We start from the raw sequence: 24,642 nt of genomic DNA, 5'->3' as shown, positions 1-24,642 counted from the left end.
TGGCAGCTAAACCACACCTGATGGGGAAAATTTACCCAGTTTACCTTTATTCTAACAAATGTTCATAGCAAACCTGCCTGTGAGCTGTAGTATTAATTTCACTCTGGGTCGTTGATTCTTACTTTGTAACTTCCTTAGATATGGTGGTTCATGCTTTAGTCTACTGAAAGGTGGACTTGGGCAAATACTTATGGCTTCACAGTTCCAAATGAAGTGGGATGGAACTAAGTTTATTAAACTCTCTTATGTTACATTTTAAGATATCTTACAGATCATCTATCTAAGAATGTATTTGTTTGTTTGTTTTTGTTTTTTAAGCAGTGGAGACCTATGTGATCTCACACATAACTTCAATGTACGAAATAGGAAAAGATGGTGGGGGAGGGGGTTTCTTAGCTGGTAGCCCCTCCTTACTACCCGCTTCTTTCTAATCTTTAGGAACTCTTATGATAGACCTTGAGATAACTGTAAAGAACCACCCTAGGTTTACCCACAGCACAGTTAAAGACTTCAAGTTAGTTCTAGTCCCCAAGAACTAACAGAGACAGAGGTAGCATCTAGAAGCTAGGTCTTTTGACATTTGCTCCAGTGCTCTTTTCACTCCACTACAATTAATTTACTTTAGAAGAGAAGCTAATCAAAGGTAGGAAATGTTTGGAGTAGCAACAGTTTTTTTAGTAAGCAGTGACATCCTCAATATTCTCCTTTTGGGTCCATGAAAAAGATGGTTAAACATATGTTCTTAACCCCCCTCCAAGTCGCTGAGGCATTCTGTGCTGCACTGCCAAATTTTGTACATTCTAGTGACTCCTTCTTCTCCCTAATGCATTGCTAAAAATAAGAAAACTCACACAAAGGCATATGTTGTGGTTTGTCTTTGATTTGGGCACGGATCATCCAAGTGTGAAAACAAAATTGGTTGCTCCATCCTTCTAATACACAGATTTGCACATCTGTACTGTACTTCCTGGAGGGAATTATAACTTAATATCTTATACAGCTTGGTAATTTCACAGAGACACCTAATACCCAATACCTCATGTGATGATTATGGAAGACATATCAAGGTGGGCAGAATGGGTGGCTTTATTTATAGCTTTTCGTAATTAAGAAAAAGATTCAAATTTGAGGAGTTCCTCAGGATTTAAAACTAGCTCGTCAACCCTAAAACCTCTTTTATTTATTTGATGATTGCCTGGCTCTCATCTTTAGACAGGGGCAGAATATTACTAGCTTTTGTTTTTAATGCTAAACTAGCCTTGGGAATGTGGGTGATAATATAATGGCCATCCCAATTGTTGGAGACAGTGCCCCTTTGGCAAAGGAGTCAAAAATAGAGTGCCGGTACTGAGTTCTCTTGAGAGAGTTGGAGGTTTGAGCTGGACGTCTTTTGTTTGTCCCTCCAGACCCTGCCTCCATCCTGCTCTGAGCTCTGAGAAACTGACCCATATGATTCCATTAGCATCCCTGCCCTCTGGCCTCTGGTTCATTTGGCCAGCAGGGGAACATTTGCAGGAGGCCTCTGGTAGGGCATGAGTGAAGCTGATGAGTGAAGTTTATTTCCCATCTCCCACATTTCAGGATTGCTGAAGTCTAGCCATCTTCCTCCACCAGACGTCACAGTCCTGTAGAAGGACCCTTTCCACCCAGCCTCTATTTTTAGATTCTATAACTGCTCCTTCCTCCTGTCCCTCAGGCCTTGGAGTGGTAACAGCTCCCCCAGGGTTACTAGCCCTGCCATACTACACCATCCCCTGCAGCTTCCCCATAACTCTGCCCACGCCTTTGCAGACGGTCCCTTTATGAAACCTAAGGTTACTCAGCTGGAGGATGCCATCTGTGTCTTGCTGGGGCCCTGATAGAAGTTTCTTAGGTGACATGTAGTAATTATAATGCCTTACATTTTGAGCCTTTCAGGTAGTAAGAGGGAGGACTTAACTGGAAAAAGTCCTCTGCATTGCCTAATTTGTAGTTCTGTTTGACTTTCAAATATACCCTTGGCCACAGTAGCAGGAGCTGAAGACTATATACATATGCCTATGATTCTCAATGTTTATGTGCATAAGAATCATCTGAGGAGGTTGTCTGAATTTACAGTTTCTGGGCACCTCTCCCCAAAGATTTCGATTCTGTGGACAAGAAGTGGTGCTCAGGTATCTTCATTTTTAACAGGGTCCTAGATGAATTTGATGTGGGCATACCTAGACCACATTTGAGAAACACTTCTTTATGCCAATAGACTCCTTATCAGTGGCCTGCCTTTTCTTTTCTTTTTTTTTTTTTTTTAAGATGGAGTCTCACTCTGTCACCCAGGCTAGAGTGCAGTGGCATGATCTAGGCTCACTGCAACCTCCACCTCCTGGGTTCAAGCGATTCTCGTTCCTCAGCCTCCAGCGTAGCTGAGGTTACAGGCACGTGCCACCATGCCCAGCTAATTTTTGTATTTTTAGTAGAGATGGGGTTTCACCATGTTGGCCAGGCTGGTCTCAAATTCCTGAACTCAAGTGATCTGCCCACCTCGGCCTCCCAAAGTGTTGGGATTATAGGCATGAGCCACCGGCACCTGGACAGTGGCCGGCCTTTTAAATTTTTCTGCCAGATTCTGTCATCAGATTCATATCTTTCAAGTGGACTTAACATTGAGTTCTCTGTACATATATGTGTGTGTGTTTAACAAGGGAAATTTTGTTGAAAAGAACCATTAAGCAAGATAATGCTGTATCTTTTCCATTAATAAAACTAGTTGAAGATGGCAGTTTTTCAGTAGGCTGTACATTTTGATGAGTCCTTTTATCTTTGAACAGTTTTCTGTCTCTTTATCCATCTGTTCATTCATCCAGTCACTCATGAAACATTTATTAAGCATCTACTGTGTGACAGGCACTTTTCTAAGTTCTGGACATACAAAGTCATCCCTGTCCCTAAGATGTTCACAGGTAGCTGGAAACAAACATGTAAGCAAGAGGTATTTGTTTATTCACTCAACAGGTATTTATTTTGCACCCGATATTTGCCAGGGATTGTTCTAGGCACTAGAGATACAAAAGTGAATAAAACAGTCAGATATTCCTGCATCGTGAAGCTTAAATTCTCACTTTATTAATCTCCTAGTGGTAAATAGTATGGTCAGAAACAAAAGACAGAGTTTTTACTTACATGAGGATTGTAGGAATTCTTCTGCTAGGCAGCACCAGCTTAACTGTGACAGTTCCCAGCAGTGTGCAAGGCTAAGTCTAGATGGGATGGCCTGGATCCTTGCCCATTGATGATCAGCGCAAATTTACACAGACAGACTAGAGAAACCAGGGACTGGGAGTGGAAAGGGTTTAACTAGAGGCTGCATGTCTCAAAAATGCAGTGTTTTGGAGTAAGTCTGGCAGAGCAGTTGATTTTGGGAAAAATGTAAGGGAAAGTACCAGATTGCTTGGGTGTGTGGAAGACAAGACAGTGGAGCAAGCCATAATGGAAAGGAACTTTAGGCATTTTGTGTTACCATGGAATCTCTTGCAGCACATCCTAGCATCTGTTCATACCTCTGGGAGTGCATGCGTCATGAAATATGACAGTTGTCTGTGTCCGTGTCTCTGCAGTTATATCAAACTTCCTTACGACAGGAACCATGCTCGATTCATCTTTCTATCCCTGGAAGCTCATGGAAGGCAATACACAAAATATTCGTTGAATGAAGGAATGCATAAACAGTCAAACAGCTCTTTATTAAATACCTACTGTTTGCCAGGCACTGTATTAGATTCTAAGGAGACAGAAATGAAAATACTTGCTCTTACATCCAAATAGACACACACAGACACACATGCATGAGGCTACTGTGCTGTGTGCCCAGAGTTAGGGCAGGGTCATGGCAGTCAGCGTTACCTAGGCTCCAGTGTGGTGGTTAAGAGAGTGGGGTCAAGTGGTTCAGAGTTTGGGCTCTATGACAAGACTGTCTGGATTCAAATGCTGGCCCTTATGTTTAGTAGCCCTGTGATGTTGGGCCTACTGCATATATTTCTGTGTCCCAGGCTCCTTTTCTGATATTTACTTTAATCTACGTAAAAGAGCTTCCTTAGAGCTTGCCTGGGACATAGCAAGCATCATATAACTCTTGGCTGTTGTGGAGGTTAATAAGCATGGCCTTTGTCACCAGGGTTGGAATCAAGATCTATCTCTGCTACTTCCTAGCTCTATTACCTGAGCAAGTGAGTTCACCTCAGCTTCTGCCCCTGCTTAAGTGATCTAATAATGTTCTCTGACTTGGGATTGTTGTGAGGGTTCAATGAGATCCTGGAGATCGAGCACTTAGCTTAATACTAAGAACTCATTTTCAATGAGTGTGCTTAGCTGTGGGGGAGGAAATGAGTGGGAGAGGAGACAGCCACCTGCTCCTGTGGAGGGCTTCTGTGGGGTGAAGCTCAATCCTAGGGTGATGGGAGTTCCTTTGTCTCCATCAGTTGCACAGCCAGGGACAGAGAGAAGGGTTGGGACCTGGAAATCAGAGTGGCAGAACAAGCACTAAATGAATGTTCTATTGTTATGATTTGTGATTCTGGAACTGGGCAGAAGCCTGTATCCTGGGACAGAATGGCAGGTCATAGCAGGACCAGCCATTACAAAATGGGCTGCTGCACCTTATGAAAATTTAGGTAGGGACTTTCAGCCTTCCTGCTCAAAAGGGTGGGCTTTAGCTACACTCCCGGACCAAACAGAGCCCCTACTACTGGCTTCATGTGAAATATTTTCTAGAAAATACTGACGCACAGGCCATTTTCAGACCAATTACACCTTTGTCCCTAGAGGTGCTACCCAGGTATTTTATAAAAGATTTCTAAATGATTGTAGTGTGCAGCCAGGGGTTTAGAGCTACCCATGCAGAGCCAAGCTGTCCTGTTCATGGGCAGAGGCTGAAGAGACCAGGAAGGGCAGGAGATGAAGAAAGAATTGTCTAGGTCTCTTGGAAAGATCAAGACTCTTTGAAGCTTAAACACTTAATTTTTATCTCCAAATAATACAACCATAAATTTATTGAGCATAATTGGAAAAGGGATTTACTCTGGAATAAGTGTCTTTTTATGTCAAATATTAATAGAATGGTATTAATTTGAAAAATGATTCACTTCCATAAAAAGCTTGCTTTCCAAACAAAATAATACATTTCTTAATATAAAAGTTTAAAAGAAATTAATAAAAGTTTACATGTTCTTGATTTATGAGTAAATAAGGCATTGAAATTACAAAATTTTATTCTGTTGGATGATCTATATCATAATACCTTCTGACAAAAATGCTTATCTATTCTTAAGATGTTTTGTTTATTCTTTTGTTTACCTTACTGCCAAAATATTTAGCCTCATCACTGGTAATAAAATAGTCAATTTTTTCATTTATGCAACAAAGGTTTACTGTTAAAACATAAAGCATTTTTTGGTTTGTTTGTTTATTTTAATTTGTCACAGGTAAACTTAGCATGCCTGTGTCAGCAGATTCAAATTCCAGCAAAGGGACCTGTCCCCATGGATTTACCATAGAAAGGTTGCATAAAATTGTAATAAACAATTTTTCTGGGCTCAAAAAAAATGTGCATACTTCTTTATCCCCTTTGGGATATGCTTCCTGGAGGAGTCTGAAATAAGGCTGGAAAAATTGTATCCAATTCTTTAATAACCCTTTAAGTATCTTCTGATATGTGTTTCAGAAGGTTGCCACAGATATATAATTTGCAACGGGAAAAGATGAACTCAAATTTTATAAGAACCCGGCGATTATGTTCTTGAAATATGTTCATGCCTATACCCGTGGCGCGAGAGCCACCCTCCCTGATTTATTCTGCTTGGACCAGAATTTGCGACTGCTGATTTCTTTTCATCCACTTTTCCTAATAGATTCAGGAAGTAATTTTCAGATACAGGAACAACAGATCACAGATAATAAAAGTAGAGCATGGGCAATTTGGGAGGCAGATAAACTTATAGAGATGAGATCTCTTTATACCACTCCTCCCTGTTTTGCACTTGTAACTGCAATGCATGATTCTCTTTTATTTCCCATTAAATACAAATGCTTTCCAATGGTGCCTTTGAGGGGGCAGGTAGGGGGCTGTACAAGCACTCCTTCTGTTAAACACAATAGGCATACACACACACGTGCACACACATTTTTCTTTCTTCTAGAGAACTTTATTTGCTGTTAACTGAACACTTGGCCTATCAGCCCCGTTATGTGTTGTTAAAATTTAACCACCACTGAGCATCATTAAGAGGTCACAGAACCAGTCAGAAGAGATAGAGGGATGGATCCAACAAACCAGCACCTAAGGATTCCAATGAACTGACATCTTCATTTCTTTCTTTCATTCTTTTTAATTTATTTTGAGACAGGGTCTTGTTCTGTCACACCCAAGCTGGAGTGGACAGTGTCACAAGCACAGCTCGCTGCAGCCTCGAACTCCCAGGCTCATGGGATCCTCTTACCTCAGCCTCCCAGAGTAGCTGAGACTACAGGTGCATGCCACCATGCCCAGCTAATTTTTGGATTTTTTTTTTTTTCTAGAGACGTAGTCTCACTCTGTTGCTCAGGCTGGTCTCAAACTCCTGGACTCAAATGATCCTCTCACCTCGGCCTCCCAAAGTGCTGGGATTATAGGCATGAGCCACCATGCTCAGACTTGCTTTATTTCTTTAAGGTAGACATGGAAGGAGAGAGAAGTCATTTTTTGCTTGTAAAGTGGATACTCCGAGAAGTGTATCATATATTCATCTTAAAGGCCATGTGTATAAACAGAAAGAGTTCTTGAGGAAAATATCATACTATTATAAGATAATCTACTGTACATATTGTGTATGTAGGCACTCTGAAAGCAAAATGGCATTTTTAAAAAGCTCTTCAGCCTCGATAGAAAAAAAAACAGGAGCTTAGATGTATTTTCTTGAAGGCAAGGTCTGTGAAAATCCTTTTATGGAGCTTGTGTGCCAAAACATGCTGTGTAAAGTCAGCCAGAGGTCATTACCGTTTTTATTAGGTGATTATATTATAAATATGAGTTGGGCCTCAATCATAAGCAGATCCTTTATGTGTGTTTCTGAACATGCAGGCTCCAAAGTGCTAAATTCCAAATTGGAATATTGATTGTCTGATGCCTGAGTTACAGCTTTCCTGAAATCTTGAATTAGGCCTCAGGTCCCATGTGTCTTTCTGGAGATAAGTTCTTCTTGTAACTGGAAGATGTAAGGTCTTAAATAGCGGGCCCCACAAGGTGGAAATCCAAAGGCAGACTTGGGCACCATTCTCTCCCTTGTGAATCAGGAGGTATTAAACACACCAGTTTATGGTGTCTATAGAGAAATTGTCATAATTTGTAAATGTCTATGAGTTTGCTCTTGGGTAAGGGAGACATTAATGCATTCCTGCGAATGTTTATTATTTCCGTGCAAATCCAATTGAATAATTTGTCTTCGATTCTGTAGACTTTTTCTTAGAAAAAGGAACCACAGGCCTCTCTGCTAAATTTTCTAATTCTGTAAATATTCTTGAGTTTTAAAGTTTGACCTGATGCTTTAAAAATAGTCAAACATACCTTAAGCAGGATTTCTCCGTTTCAGTAGTATTGACATTTTGTGCCAGATAGTTCTTTGCTATGCATTGTAGGATGTTTAGTAGCATCCCTGGCCTCTACCCAGTAGATTTCAGTAGCACCTCCCCACATCACAAGTGACAATCAAAAATGTCTCAAAACATTGTCCCCTGGGGTGTAAAGTAGCCCCTGGTTGAGAATCACTGCCTTAAAGTGGTGGCCAAACAAAGATCTTCAATGTTCTACATACAAAATGAAGTGAATCTCTGAGAGTTTAAAACAAGATGTAGATGCAAACCTGAGCACTACAAATACTTGTTCCTATATTGACTTCCCCTGTAGAGTGAGTCCTGAGAGCAGGGCTGTGAGTTTTGTTTCCCCATGGCCTAGTACTGCCAGGCAAGTCATAGAGCCCCAGTAAATATTGAGTGGGTGAATAAGAGAAATAAATCACCTGTCATTAGACGCTTCCATAAATGTATATATAAATATGAGTTGTATGTATTCACATAGTTCCATTAAAAACTTACTAAATATTACTCTTTTATATCCCAGTGTCTGAATAGTAATGCGCACAGATCAGACATTGAATTGGTATTGGCTGAACGGCTACCTGGCACATAAAAAGTACATTGAAATGATAAATTAACAGAACACCCATGGCCATATGCCATCAGACATGTGTTTTTGTGGCGATTTCAACAGTCAGTGAGTTGGATGTGGGATACTCGACGGTGGCCACCCTGCAAGGTCTATTTACTTTGCCTCGTTTGAAATTCAGTCTCCATGCCTCGGTTGTCCAGGTCCCCCGTCTGGTCTTTCTGAATCCACACTAGTGAGAAGGAGAATGTTATGGTTCAGCAGGAAATGGATCGTTTTGTTTTAAATTTCCAGGTCACCACAGCTGTGCATATAGCCGCTACTTATTCCCAGATCTCTCCTTGCTGCCCTGCCAGAGCTATGACCAAAATTAGGGCGATGGCTCTATTTTGAAGGCCTGAGTTTAAAGTTATAAAAAAAGTCAGGGGACAGCAGCCATTCCCAAGATTTATGCTGAAGCAGCACAGAAGTTTAATGTTATTGAAAAGTATTTGAAATCACTTTTTAAACTTTAGATTTAAATTTATTTTCCAGGCTTTGACCACTACAATTGTGTTAATTTTAAAACGACCATAAAAAATATTTACAAGGTACAGTGGATTTCTAGGTCAGGACTCAAGGCTTAGGAAGAAAGTGGAATTAAAAGGCACTTCAGTTAAAAATAAAAAACTATGCTAAATTTGCCCTAGTTTAACCTTCTCCATTTATATGCGAGGAAACTATAAGTTATTGGGAGATGAAATCACTCCAGGGTTACACGTTTTTTTTTTTTTCTCTGTTTGTCTTTTAAATCTGTTTCTCATTTTCCCTTTCTTTCTCTCTTTCTCTCCCTCACCCCAATAAAAGTAGATATCAGATTCACATGCACATATAGATGATGGTTTTCCTACACTGCTAAAACATTGGACCTAAATTGGATAACTAGAGATAGTTAAGTGCAACTCTTTTATTTCACTTTATGAGTAAACAGTGGTCTGGAGAATTAGAACTGTGCTGTTGAAATTTTTAAAAAGTCGGTGACTGGCAAAGCTGCAACTTGAATCCAGGTCTCTTCTCTATTCAGTTATCTTTTCACTAAGGCATGCAACTTTCTTATTATCTTATTTTGCACCCTTTTATTGCAATCATTCATTAGCAAATATTTCCTGAGCTGCTGTTCTGTGTTGAGTTAAAAGACAGCAGTCAGCATACATGGCCGCTGCCCTCAGGAGCTCACCTTTTAGTGAGGAGACTGAGAAACAAGCAGACAATGCCTGTAGAGTACAGCATTAGAAATAAGGTGGTGTGGTTGGGCTGTGGGTGGGGACTGTCAGTGAAGGTTCCTGTTACAGGTGATACCGGGGAATGTGATGGTCATTGCAGGAAGAATGCTGTTCAAGACAAGGGCTGAGAAGAAATACTGAACTGGGAAGAAGAGAGTTAGCATGATGCCAGGGCAGAGCACAGGCCTTGATTTAAGACCCAACAACGTGACTTCGTAGCTGGATGATCTTGGTTCAGTCACTCAATACTCTTATCCTCATGGATTAAGATCAGGATGATCGTTATAACACTTAACTTTCATTGTACTCATATATACCCTTTCTTGAGCACTAGGTCTCTGGCCTTGAGTTAATTACTTGGATATTAACATGACCTTCACATTTTAGAGGAGGAGGTTTCCTAGCAGGTGCCTAGCAGAGCCTTGATTTCATCTCAAGCCTGAATCCAGAGTCCAAGCTCAGAAGTTGTGCCACCTCTGAGAGTACAAGACTGTTGAAGATTCAATGAGCTGATATAATTATAGGAAAATAGACATTACAAGAATGTTAGTTGTTTTTTCTGCATCATAAAACGTCCTCTATAACCACTTTGTAGGCCAATGCATGGATATATATGTGTGTATCACTCATATTTCTTACCTGCCATTTTTATATTCATGGTGGAAAGGCAAAATTTGAAAAAGGAAAATGTTCATTAAGAATATAAAACACTTGGGCCTATAGGGAAAAATGTTTTTCTGACTTTTAAATTTCCACTTTTTAGATAATCCCTTGAATGTATATCTTGATACTACGTGGGCATCAACCCCTGAGGGAGTGTTGGATCTCCTTCCTGTCCTTCCCCATTATATGGTTTATTGGGTTTTTACTCTCATTGATTAAACTCTTGCTATGTCCTAGCCACTGTGATGAATCCTCACAGCATCCATAGCAGAAATGAAGACCTAGGCCTGGAGAGATTGCCTGCCTTGCTGCTTAGCAAGTGGAGGAGGCAGGATGCAACCCTGAATCAGTCTAGCTCCACCATTCAAGCTGTAACCATGAAGCACTATTGCCTGTCTCCTTGATTTGCATTCTTTTATGCATTTTCTGGCACCACAATGGAGCAAATGTCATGCTTACCTATCTAGAATCCTGAGCTACATCTTTTGAATCCCACCTTGATTTATGACCTTTTTCTTAGTGTTTCTAGTATATGTGTTTTGATAGGTCTGGGAGGTTGGAAGTGAAATTACCTCTTTGGTAAGTTTACCCATATTCAGTGGGAGGGCAGGAGTATGGTATTTTTATGGGATCTTTGAGGTGTCGCCTTTCTGTCTGGAAACCTTTGTTGGCCAGTGGCACCTTTGCCTGAGTTCTTGTCCTGTGTCTAGGAAGAATGAGGTATACAGACAAGTGGAGGGTGAGCAAGATGAAGAGGAGCTTTATTGAGTGTTAGAACAGCTCAGAGGAGACCTGCAGTGGGTAGCTCCTCTCTGGAGGAAGATCATCCCATCAAGTGTTCAGCTCTCACCAGAGAGGAGGCCCTTCTCTCTGCAGGCAGGTCGTCCCATCATCTCTGGAGCACTCCGCAGAGAGGAGGACCTGGAGAGGGTAGCTCCTCTCTGCAGCTGGTCATCCAGAAGTCTGCTCAGCTCTGGCTGAGCTTGGGGCTTTTATGGGCCTCAGAGAGAAGTGGGTGCCAATTGGTCCATGGTTGGCCATGGGTGGGCCCAGAAGAGGCACTACAAGTTCCCACTCTGGTTCGTGGGACTGGCAGCCCCGCCCCCATCCTTCAGCCCCTCCCTGGCCTGAAGGTGGGGCCTCACCAGGGACCTGCCCCCTTTTGCCCAGGAACCTGTCTCCCTCCTGCTGCCGTTCATGGCACCCAGGCTGTAGGTGCCAAGGGGCCCCCTGCAGGCCAGCACTGAGCTGCTCTCAGCCCCATTTCGGCTTCCCTCTTATCCTCATCAGTGCTCAAAGTCCAGAAGGGGGCTGAGGTGTCAGGGGCCTGACATGTCAACAGTGCCCTGAGTGTGTGCACACCTGGCTGGGCTGTGACAGTGCCCAGGCTCACCCCACTTTGCTTCAAGATGGGAGCAGGTGCCAATAGCAGGAAGAAGCCAGGCCATGGGAGCAGGTATTTCCAAGCCTTCCTGGGCCTCCAAGAGGGCAGGGATGCCTGGGTCCACAGCTGTGGTTTGGGCGGCTGCAGCTGCACCCAGGAGGGAGGTGCTTCTGCCTGCTCTGAGGAGTGGGAGGCCCAGGTCTGCAGTCATAGTTTGGGAGGCTGCAGCTGTGCCTGGGAAGGCTGGGTTCCTGCTTGCTCTATGGAACAGGAGGCCTGGGTCTGCAGCCATGACTTGGGTGGCTGCAGCTGCATGTGGGGAGTTCCTGCCCCACCAACTCAGAAGGGACAGTGCTCCCACTTGTCCCCAGCTCCTGCCAGCTCCACGGAGTGTGGAACCCTGGGCATTGCCTCCCTGCTGCAGCCACACTGCTGCAGCTAGCGTGATGGCAACGGCTGCTCCAGATAGGTCGCCACTGCCATTGGTATGATGGTTAGACTTGAACTTACATGGTTTCTTTCGATAGCTGCCATTTTGGGAGCATTTGCCCTTTGCTGATTGATTCTTACTGCAAGCTGATGAGGTAGATGTTACTGCCTTCATTTTACAGAGGAGGAGATGGAAACTCAAAACTACAGTGTTTGAGTCACTGGTTTCCAACACCTAGTAGGTCTCTGGAAATGTGTGTTGCTCAGGTCCCCAGACAAAAAAGGCACCTAGCTCTGATTAGAAACTTTCTTTCAGACTTCCGAACTCTTACTTTTTTCAGAGTACCATTTTGTGTGACTTTTTTTTGTTTTTTTTGAGACAGGGTCATGCTCTTTTACCCAGGCTGAAGTGCAGTAGTGCCATCACAGCTTACTGCAGCCTCAGCCTCCCTGGCTGAAGTGGTCCTCCCAAGTCAGCCTCCCAGGTAACTAGGATTACAGATGTATGGCACCATGCCTGGCTAATTTATTTATTTTATTTTATTTTATTTTATTTTATTTTATTTTATTTTATTTTATTTTATTTTATTTTATTTTATTTTATTTTGTGGAGACAGGGTCTCACTGTGTTGCCCAGGCTGGTCTCGAACTCCTGGGCTAAAGTGGTCCACCTGCCTCTGCCTCCCAAAGTGTCGGGATTATAGGTGTGAGCCACTGTGCCTGGCCTTGTGTGATTTATATAGTCAGTTTACATTCCTGGGCTTCATTCTTTCCAGCTTTGCTAAGAGATATTCAGAACAGCATGGAGGTTAAAAACATAAACTCTGCAGCCAGTAGCATGGATTCCAGCTGTCCTTTGCTGGCTGTGTGACATTAGGCAAGTTGCTAAATCATTTTGAGCCTCAGTTTCATTATCTTTAAGGTCAGAATAATAACAGTACCAATCTTTTGAGATTATTGTAAAAATTAAATGAGTTAAGTTTTGTAGGTATAATTCTTAGAATAGTATCTGGTATATGATAAGCTTTTAACATATGTATTAGCCATTAAAAGTTATTATTTACTTTTCAAACATTTAGTAAGCCACTGCCATGTGTGAAACACTGTGCTAGAAAATGGGATGGAATCCTAGTGTCCCTCTCAGCTCTGACATTCAGTGACAGATGTCAACAACCAACCCTTCCATCTCTTGGGGAAGCACTGCATGGTTTGCTCCAGGGGACTTACTGACTCTCAACTTACAAATTGTTATGTGGAAAATGAAAAATGCATCTAGCTATTACTTTCTTTTACTCATCTTGTTCACGTAGGTGGGTTGCATTTTACTACATAATTAAGAATAAGGAACAAAAATGGAAGGAAGCATATTTGTAGCTTATGTGTAGGTTAAAATTTCCTGATAAGTAAAACGGACTCATAAACAGGAAAGACAATAGCACTATTTAAATGGGAAAATCCATAGCTATCATGATATGGAGTAATGCCATTTTGCTGTTTTGGTCTTGAAGGAGGAAGGCATGAACATATTTGCACATATTGTCCTTGGCTAAAGCTGGTCCTGCAAAGAGCAGGACACATTTGGACAGGAAAATTGTATTCCGACCACCAATTTGCATAGTCCTAGCTTTCCGCTCATCTTTCTACTATTGTATATATCAGGAGATATAGTCCTCAACCTCACACAAACCAGACTGAAAAGGGGAAAATTGGAGAGGCTTAGTATATTTCCTCTCTTTTAGAACTAGCATGAAATACCAGTTTCTCATTGCTTACAGTATACGGGATTTAGCAAGACACACTAGAAGGTGTCAGGATGTTAGGGTCAGATCATCTACTTCTGCCCGTATAAATGTCTGTGCAACCTCTAGCAAGACACAATCTCTTTCTGAGACTTTTTCCCTCTTTGTAGTGTGGGGAGAGTAATTAAACTTGCCTGTCTATGAAAAGCCTGGTAGAGTGGATAGTACACGGATTTTGTGGTCCGAGAGACCTCACTTGAATCATGGCCTCTCCACTTCACTGAACTGCTCAGAACCTCATCTGCACACTGAAGATATTATTACCTGTGTCTTCAAACTGTTATGGGGTTTAATGTTGTATTATGTATTTGGTTGGAATATAGCAGTCCTTCCTTTTAAAATATTAGGGCCCTTTAGACTCTTTAATTTTCCCAGTGTAACCCATTTTTTATTTTATATGTAAGAATATATAGTTTTATTGTGAAGTACAGAATATATATATTCTTCTTTATATATATTTATATGTAATACATATAAATATATTATATATAATATATAAATATATATTTATATATATTCTTTATATAATACATAAATATATGTTTATGTATTCTTTATATAATATATAAATATATATTTATATATATTCTTTATATAATATATAAATATGTTTATATATTTTTATATAACATAAATATATATTTATATATTTATATATATTCTTTATATATAAAGAAGATATATATTTTCTGTACTTCATAATAAAAAATATATATTCTTATATATATTCTATATATACAAAGTATATATTCATACGTATATATTCTTTATATATATATATAAAGTCTATGATAGCGTATGTGGATGATTTATGAACAATAATAATAAAAATCCCAGTGCCCATTTCTCAAGCCAAGAAATAGAATGTCATGAGACTCTAGAAGCTACCTAAGGCCTTTCCTTCATAGCATCCTGATACCCCTTCCCCAGGTAACTTCTAACCTGAATTTTGTGTTATTTCCTTAAGGTCTTTCTCTCTCTATATATATATATATACATATATATATATCCCTAAACAATTTATTATTTCTTTTCATTTTGCCTGATTTTGAACTTTATATAAGTGGAATCACATTGTAACTTCTTCTCGTGACTTTGATTATCATTGTATTTTCAAGATTTCTTGATATCGATACAGTTTATTAGTAGTATTCCCTTCTAAGAGTGTATATATTTATTTTCTAATCTAGTAATAGAGGATGTTTGGCTAATATCCAGTTTTTTTGCTATTATGAAATATATTGCTACAAATATTCTTCTATCCCTTATTATATATAAGCTGAATATGTTAATATATGCTAAGTATAGTTTTCAGTTTATCTTTCCAAGTGAAAAGGTCTTTATAGATCATTTAATCTGATATCTTTCCTCTGCCTGCGTGCAGAGCAGGGTGATTCCTGAGGTGTCACGGCTAGTAAATGGTAATGTGGGGCCAGTAACCCAGGTCTCTTGTTCCAGTATGGCTCATCTCTGTGACTAGACCACATGTCTGACAGTGTTTTGTTTAATTTTAAATGACTTCTCTTGCTATTGATTTTCTAATTTTGGAATTTTCATTTGGACTGGTTCTTTAATACTCTCTTAGAAATATGCTTGCATTTAGTGTTGAGATCCTTTTGCCCCCATCCCCAAAGTTGGGACAGTGCTCGCTTCTCTTGGGCCCTGTCCCATTAATGCCAGCCCTAGGCATACCCCATGGCCATGAACCTGTGATAAACTTCTACCTCTTCAGCAGTGAGAGCCTCTGAGACATGTTTCAACCAGGGAAAAAATCAAAATAGACCCAAAATGGCCAACGGAGAAAACTGCTGAGGAAAGAAATCTGAATCCTTACAAGGCACTTTCTTAGGAAATATCCCTTTACTATAAATAGGAATGGATATTCAATTTTAGGTCCCTTTAAAAAAACTCTCTAGGACTGAAATTAGATTTGAGGCTGATGGAATGAATATAGGATGGGGTGATTCTGTGCTGTGCTGGGGCATGTCTGAAAGTTCTGAGCAGCTGGTGCAGTGGAACAGCTGAGCCACAAACAAATATCAGCTGATTTTAGCACTTCTTATTTCTAGATGTCCTGGTTTGTTAACTCCAGCCCTTGGTTCCCTGTATGCTCTCTTCATGAGGCGTCTCAGCATTTCTCCCTGCCTTCCAGTGACTGTACAATCTTGGGTACATTATTCCCTTTTCTGGGTCTCAGTCTCCTGTATCCTACAATGAGAGGAGTCCCTAATATTTATTAAGAACTTAGAATGTGCCAAGCGCCTTCCATATATCATCTCATTTAGTTTTCACAAAAACACTATGAGGTGAGAACTATTATTATCACCATTTTACAATGAGGAAATTGAGTGTAGGGAATTGAGGCACAGTTGGCCCACCTGCTCCCCATTTAATGGGATTTGGAAATGTGTTCTGGGAGAGATCTGTTCCGGCCTCTGCCTCCGTGCTCTGCAGTTGGGAACGATTCTATGTCACGGGTGTCCCTCACTCACATGCCTCTCTCTCATCTCTCAGCTCTAGAACCACAGAGGAGAATGTAGCTAGGATTCCAAATTCTTGCCATGCACTTGTCTGTAGAGAGTGTCCGTGGTTTCTGTCCTATGAAAGGGGTCTGTAACCCCCAAAAGTTTAAGAACCACCGACTTAGGTGTTAAAGTCACTAAGGCAGTAAACCAACACAACTAACCATTTGAAAACAAAGAAATAGATCCATTTGCCTATGAAGAAATAAACTTTCCAAGGCTTTGATGGGTTTCTTTTTAGTGATCTGACCAAATATTTTGGAGTTGTGAAATTACAGGGCAAATTCATTGTAAGGAATTCACCTAAGAAATGAAAAGTAGTAATAATCTATCTTTTGAGTTTTACTATATTTAGTCCAAATATTTCATCTCTTTGTCTTTTCATGGAAAGGTTTCAAGAGAATTGAAAACAACTCTGCTTATTACTTATTCAAAGATAGTGACGGAAGTGCTAACGGTAAAGAATAAAAGATGTTGTATGTGTAGTGCATGCATGTGTGTGTTTGTGTGCTTGTGTGTGTGTATTTTGGGTGGGTGTCTTAATCTATTGGGGCTGCTATGACAAAATGCCATAAACTGAGTAGCTAATAAACAACTTAAGTCCAGGATCCAGGTGCTGACAGATTAGGTGTCTGGTGAAGGCCTGCTGTGTAGTTTAAAGATAGTGCCTTCAAGTTGCGTCCTTCTGCAGTGGAAGGGGCAAGGCAGCTCTCTGAGGCCTCTTTTATAAGGGGACTAATCCCACTCACTAGGGCTCACCTCTCATGACCTAATCACCTCAAGAAGACCCCACCTCCCTAATACCATCACATTGGCAATTAGGATTCAATATATGAACTTTAAAACATTCCAACCATATCAGTGGTTAATCAGTTTATAGTTAAACATGAAAGAAATTGGTGTTTTGTAGTTGGTGCCACTGAGAAGGTATAGGAGTAATGCTCCTAAGTAAATTGCAGAAAGTTTAGAATTATTGAATAATAGTAATAAATACTAACAATGATTTACGTTTTTTGAGCACATGTTGTGTGTTAGTCTCTCTTTTAAGGACTCCACATGGCTTAATCTAATTATTGTAATTGCTGTTCAAAGTAGGTAGTGTTTCTTTGTTCATTTACAGATGAGAAAAATTGAGGTTCACATAGGTTAAGGACTTGCCCAAGGTAAGGATGAGAACCAATCTGGGGTATATTCAGTTAAATCTGATGGCAGGTATCTCATATGGAACAAATTAATATATTCATTCTTCGACATGTCCTTCTATATAATTGTTTAACTCTGAGACTTTTACCTCTTCCTCAAAGGTCTAAGGTGAAGGAATCCAAAATTGATTAAATGCCTAAGATGGGACAAGTGTCTTTAGATATGTTATTAATTCTTCAATACTATCTTATACATATATTTATAATGATACTCTTCTGATTGTTGTATCATTACCTGTTTGTCTTCCTCTTAGACTATGAGCTATTCATTTATCTCTGTATTGGTGATTTTTGCTGTGGTAGTAACAGATATCCCAGAATTTCAATAATTCTGCAGGTCGGATGCAGCTCTGTTTAGTTCTCTTCCAAAAGTCTGCTCATGCCAGAAATCCAGGCTCTGGGAGCAGCCCCATCTGGGCTATGTGATTCTCATGTCAGAGGGCAGAAATACAGAAGTCTTAACTGAATGACATATGTATACAGTTTCTGCTCAGTTTTGTGTACATTATGTCTACTCATATTCCAGTGGCCAAAGGAAAAAAAAAAGTCTCATGGCAAACCCGACAATGGAGCACAGAATATTCTCCATCTACCTTAGATATTGGCAGTGACATGGCAAAGGATGCAGATGAACAATCCTTTTATTGGAAGGACACAGATATTGGGAACCATAATGCAATATGTTACCATCTGGTTGCTCCTAGAACTGCATTTTTATATGAGGAAACTGAAGTGTAGAGATGTTACATACATATGTGGTCATATTTATGTGATCTGAGCTAGTTATCTGATTCCACGTCCATGCTCTTTCTCATTTTCAGCTTCATCTCTTTCTGCTCTAAAACATAGACTGTCTTCTTGGGACATGCTGAGTTTTATGTCATTCATCCAGACACTGAGTACATTCATGTATTTGTGACTCAGTATTTGATATTACATCTGTAATTGCAGTTTCTTCTTTCAATACTACCTAATGCTCTTTATTTTTTTGTCTGAAAGCTTTACTTGTTTTTCTTAGGCTAGGAGGGATGCCATTTCTCAGTGTTCTGTGGTGTCCTCTGTTCCCTCACAGTGCTTATCTCTCTGCATTTTAATTGTGTGTTAAAGGGGGGCCTCTCTCCTAACTAGACTGGACATTTCTGGAAGGCTGCGGGAGGGGCTGCTTTTTACCTATGGGTCCTTACATAATAGGCGACATATAAAAAGTATTGTAAATGTGCGTTGAAATAATGGATAAACAGAATTTTCCTCCAGAAAAAATGAGACTTGTTATTGAAGGGCCGGTGCTCATGTATTTCATAAACAAGTCAAGTCAGTTGGATTTCAATCATTCCAGAACAAAGGGCCTGGGAAATCTGTCCACTATCATGACTTACATGTGTTCTGTCTGCATATTGTTCTTTCTTTTAAAACTCAAGCAATTTTTGTACAATGTGTTTCCAAAGTGATTTTTATCCCTTTATTTTATGGTAGAAAATAGACTCCAATTATTCTCTTTAATTAAGTGATTTTATTTTATTAATTGTTTCTAACTTACAGAATTCCCTAGAGACCCTTTACATGTTTCCAAATGAAGGCAGGAAGAAAAGCACATTAATTATACACACAAACTCCTTTTGGCGAATTAAACATGATGCACAGTGAACATGAAATGACTTGCCCTCCTGAGCTATCAATCTTGTCATTAGTGATGGCTTGTATGAGTAGTATTGACATGGGCTTATCCAAATTGGATTCTGCAAAGAGTCATTTTAATTTTGCACAAATGTAAGAAGATAAAGTAGTCTGATGGGCAGTTTGTTTTAACCCCTCCTTTTGACAAGTGGCTGGGTTTTTTCTGTTTGTAATACCGCCTAGTACTTTTTGGAGTTTAAATTTTTTTTTCAAATTTTAATTAATTAATTAGTTTAAAATTGACAGCTAACATTGCGTATTTTAATCACGTACTGCATGTTGTTATGAAGTGTATACACATTGTGAAATTGTTAAGTCTAGCTAATGAACAAATGCATTACCTTGCATACTTGGTGAGAGTGCATAATATCAACTCTGCATTTTTCAAGAATACAATTTATTGTTATTAACTATAGTCACCTTGCTGTATAGTGGATCTCTTAACATTTGTTCCTCCTATCTAACTGTGATTATGTATAATTTGACCAATATTGCCCCATCCTTCCCCCACTCCCAAGCACACCAGCCTCTGGTAGCCACCATTCTACTCTCTACTTCTATGAGATCAACTCTTTTAGATTCCACATGTTAGTGAGGGGATATAATATTTGTCTTTCTGTGCCTGGCTTATTTCACTTAACATGATGTCCTGCAGGTCAATCCATCTTGTCACAAATGGCAGGATTTCATTCTTTTTTATGGCTGAATAGTATTACATTGTGTATATACCACATTTTCTTTATTTATTTATCCTTGATGGACACTTAGGTTGTCTCCGTATCTTGGCTATTATAAATGTATTGCTATAAACATGGGTGTGTGGATATCTCTTCAACATACTGATTTCATTTCCTTTGCATATAATTCCAGTGGTGAGATTGCTGGATCATATGGTAGTTCTATTTTTAAGTTTTTAAGGAACCCCCATACTGTTTTCCACAATGGCTGTACTAATCTACATTTCCATCACCTGTGTATAGGGGTTGCCATTTCTCTATATCCTTGCCAATACTTCTTATTTTTATTTTTGATAGCAGACATTCTAACTGGGGTAGGGGGATATCTTATTGTGGTTTTGATTTGCATTTCACTGATGATTAGTGATATTGAGCATTTTTTTCATATACCTGTTAGCCATTTGTGTATCTTCTTTTGAGAGATGTTTATTCAGTCTTTTAACAATTTGTTAGTCAGTTTTTCTGTTTTTGCTATTGAGTTGTTTGAGTTCCCTATATATTTTGGATATTAACCTCTTATCAGATATATAGTTTGTAAATATGTTCTCTCATTCTGTGGGTAGTCTCTTCACTCTGTTGATTGGTTTGTTTGCTGTGCAGCAGCTTTTTAGATTGATGTAATCTCATTTGTCTATTCGTTACCTATGCTCTTGAGATCTTATCCAAAAAGTCCTTGCCGAATCCAGTGTCATGGAGCTTTTCTTATATATTTTCTTCTAGTAGTTTTGTAGTTTTGATTAATATATTTAAATCCTTAATCTGTTTATTTTTGTATATGGTGAGAAGTAAATTTTATTTTTCTGCATGAGGATATCCAGTTTTCCCAACACCATTTATTGAAGAGACTGTGTGTTCTTGGCTTCTTTGTTGAAAAGAAGTTGGCTATAAATGCATGGATTTATTTCTGAGCTCTCTATTCTGTTCTATTGGTCTATGTGTCTGTTTTTATGCCAGTACCATGCTGTTTTGGTTACTGTAGCTTTGTAGTATATTTTGAAGTCAGGTAGTGTGATGCCTCCAGTTTTGTTCTTTTAACTCAAGATTGTTTTGGCTATTTGGGCTCTTTTGTGGTTCCATAAGAATTTTAAGATTTTTTTTTTCTATTTCTGTGAAGAATGTTTCCAGTAAGGGTTACATTGAATCTGTAGACTGCTTTGGATAGTATGGTCATTTTAACAACATTTATTCTTCCAGTCCTTAAACATGGGATGTCTTTTCATTTATTTGTGTCTTCAATTCTTTATTCTTTTCATCACACAAAACAATAAATGTGATACACCACTGTAACAGAATGAAGACAAAAACCTTATGATCATTTCAATAGATGCACAAAAAGCATTTGACAAAATGTAACATCTCTTTATAATAAAAGCTCTCAACAAATTAGGTATGGAAGAAATATACCTCAACACAATAAAGGCCATATAAGAAGGACCCGCAACTAATATAATAATAAATGAGGAAAAGTTGAAAGTGTTTCCCCAAGATTTGGAACAAGACAAGAATGCCCACTTTCACCACTTCTGTTCAGCATAGTGCTAGAAGTCCCAGCCAGAGCAATTAGTGAAGAGAAAGAAAGAAAAGGCATTCAAAGTAAAAAGGAAGAAGTTAAATTGTCCCTCTTTGCAAATGACATGATCTTATATATAGAAAACCCTAAAGACTCTACCAAAAAACTGTTAGAGCTAATAAACAATTTCAGTAGAGTTGCAGGATACAAAATCAACATATGAAAATCAATAGTGTTTTTCCGTGCTAATACGGTTTGCCTGTGTCTCCACCCAAATCTTATCTTGAATTGTAGTTCCCGTAATCCCCATGTGTTCGGGGAGGGATCTGGTGGGAGGTAATTGAATCATGGGGATGGTTACCCCCATGCAGTACTCTCATGATAGTGAGTGAGTTCTCATGAGATGGTTTTATAAGGGGATTTCCCCCTTTTGCTTGGCATTTCTCTCTCCTGCCGCCACGTGAGAAGGATGTGTTTGCTTCCTCTTTCACCATGATTGTAAGTTTCCTGAGGCCTTCTCAGCCATGCAGAACTGAGTCAATTAAACCTCTTTTCTTCCTAAATTACCCACTCTCAGGTATTTCTTCGTAGCAGCATGACAAATTCACATGCTAATAGTGAACTATCTGAAAAAGAAACAAAGAAAACAATCCCATTTACAATAGCTACCAAAAAAAAAAAAAAAAAGGAAGAAGGTGAAGATCTCTACAATGAAAACCATAAATCAGTGATAAAAGAAATTGAAGAAACCACTTATATTTTATAGTACTATGGGGTTGGTAAAGCACCAGACCAGATATTATTTTGTCAAGCCACAGAGCAACCCTGGGAGATAGGTGAGTTTTACAGGTGAAGAAATTGAGGTTCTACAGTTAAAGGTTATGCATCAGATCATATAACCAGGAAGGGACAGAGCCTTTTCAGTTGTTGTCAGTATTATTTTTTTTACATTTCTCTGAGCAGGAATAGGGGTTGAGTATAAGCAAACTCCTTTCCTGTCATTTTCAGTGATCAAACGAGAGGAAATTCTGATGTGTTTATGTTAAATTGTCAATTCAGTAATCATTGTTTGGACACCTATTATGTGCTAGAGTGTATTGGTGATAAAATATAACATGTGTTGAACATGTACTGTGTGCCAGGCACTGTTCTAATGACTTCACAGGATGAACTTAGTTAATCCATGCAGTGACCCTATAGGATAGGGTCATTATTGTTTCCAATGTATAGTTGAAGCACAAAGGGATTAAAGTAAGTCTCTTAAAGCCACATGGCTTAAAAGTGGCAGAGTGGCACATCACAAGCTGTTAACCACTACCCAGTACTGCTTCTCCGGTGGTGGCTTTCTTCTCTTAAGATGCATGTGGTCTATTGCGAGAGGCAGTTAATTTCCAAGCAGTATTATAAGTTGCTGTGGTAGCTGTAGGATGGTATCAGTCCCCCAAAGAAGTAAGGACACATGGCTTTAGGACCTTCATTTGGCCACAGCTGAGCTTTGTTCCTACAAACTGCATCGTTTGAAAAGCACATTATATTTTCAAGACTTTTTTCTGTCTGAATGGAGTTTGTTGCAATACTTAGAAATATCCTAGGGAGATTATTTATTTTCTGAACTGATGAGAGAGCATGTCAGATTGTTGGACCAGATTCCATGAGAGAAGCCATTTGTTGTGCCCCTGATATGTGCTGGATGACCAAGACCCAGTTCTTGTCCTCAGGAGCTTCCCAAGGAGTGGAAATAAATGTGATATCATCAAAAGCATAAAACAACAGTTGAAGTTTATTGAGGACTTGCTCTATATGTCAGTTGCTATTCTAAGTTCTTGACATAACTTTTTATTGTAATTACTCTTATAGTAGGTATTTTACCTGCATGCTACAGATCAGAGGATTGAACTGAGCAAGTTTAAGTCATGTGTCCACTTTAAAGGCAAGGGCTTTTCTTCCAATAAAATGTTGAGGTAATTGAGTTTTACTGTCTTTGAAAAGGAGCAGGGAGCTGTAGCAAAAGCAGTGAAATTGAGTTTTACTGTCTTAGCACTCAACAACATTCACTGACTACTATGTGCTAAACACTGCTCTAGGTGCAAGGAATATAGCACTGAACAAACTCCAAATCTCTGCTTTCATGGAGCTTATGTTTCAGTGGAGGCAAATAGACAATAAATAAAATTAATAAGGAAATCTGGAACTAAATGTGATAAGGGCGACAGAAGAATAAAGTAGGGAAGAGGAAAAACTAGTGAATTAGGTTGCAATTTAAAATAGCATGCTTAGAGGACATTTTGTGTGTGTGTGTGTGTGTGTGTGTGTGTGTGTGTGTGTGTGTGTGTTTATTGAGGTTTAACAAAAAAGCTAGTTACCACTACCACTTCTGCTTAAAGCCTATTATTTCTCTCCATTGCCTTCATAAAATTCTTATGTACAAAGCTTTTCATAACAGTTTACCTCTTCAGACCCATTTCATATGACTCCCAATAAAGTATACTTCAGGTCCACGGGCCTGCCTACATTTTCTTGAAAATACCATGAAATACCACGAAATACCACGATCTTTTGCCTTTATGTTTTTGCCTCTGCTGTTTCCTGTGCTGGTGACCCACTCTCACCATCTAGGAAGCTTTTCTAAACATTGTTCACACTCATGCCCCACCCCCAACTCCACTCTATCCCCATAGCACTAGTGTTTATCTCACACTATATTAAGGTTGTCTCTGTTAGGTGACCCTCTACCAGTAGACTGTGACTTTTTCAACCTGGGAATTATTTTCTCTCTAAGTGCTTAATAAATGTGGAAGGAAGGACGGAAGGACGGAAGGAAGGAAGGAAGGAACGAAGGAAGGAAGGGAAGGAAGGAAGGAAGGGAGGATGGAAGGAAGGAAGGAAGATAGATAAGTAGGTAGGTAAGAACCAAGGATGGAAAAAAAAATGTATGCCAGGAAGGAAAGGAATTTAATAAAGAAGGAAGGAAATTAGGAAGAAAAAGAAGGGAGAAAGGAATGAAACAACTAAGGGAAAAGGAAAAAAGAGAAGGAAGAGGGAAAGAGGGAAGGAAGAAATCAAAGGTTTTTGACCAAGATTGTATCTTAGAGACATTAATTTAAGCATCATGCAAAAGAACGTGTAGTTGTTTCATCCTGGTGTGCCTCTACCTCACTTTAGGAGATCTTCTAAAGTTTCTTTCTTTGGGCCAAGAAGACACTCAGTTTTGGGTGGCCCTTAGGAATTCACTCTGCTAATCGTGGAGAAGACAGGGCTGATGGAGGAAAATGCCTGTACACATTTCTCTCATG

General features: G+C 39.5%; 1 protein-coding gene across 11 annotated transcripts in view, besides 1 other annotated feature; it reads left to right on the top strand.

The window, feature by feature from the left end:
* Positions 1-24,642, top strand: part of DAB1 (DAB adaptor protein 1) — a 1,551,949-nt gene that overhangs the window by 1,167,171 nt on the left and 360,136 nt on the right. The gene's annotated exons all lie outside the window — the stretch shown is intronic.
* Positions 21,591-22,221: an enhancer, noted in NCBI's record as "OCT4-NANOG hESC enhancer chr1:57823007-57823637 (GRCh37/hg19 assembly coordinates)". NCBI's record gives its function as "activates a minimal SCP1, AML or CMV promoter by ChIP-STARR-seq in naive and primed H9 embryonic stem cells {active_cell/tissue: H9 hESC(naive and primed)}" and the evidence as "EXISTENCE:reporter gene assay evidence [ECO:0000049][PMID:30033119]".

The sequence above is a fragment of the Homo sapiens genome, chromosome 1, assembly GCF_000001405.40.
Source record: "Homo sapiens chromosome 1, GRCh38.p14 Primary Assembly".
Lineage (NCBI taxonomy): Eukaryota > Metazoa > Chordata > Mammalia > Primates > Hominidae > Homo > Homo sapiens.
Note: the sequence above shows the minus strand (reverse complement) of the source record. Positions and strands in the feature narration are given on the sequence as shown.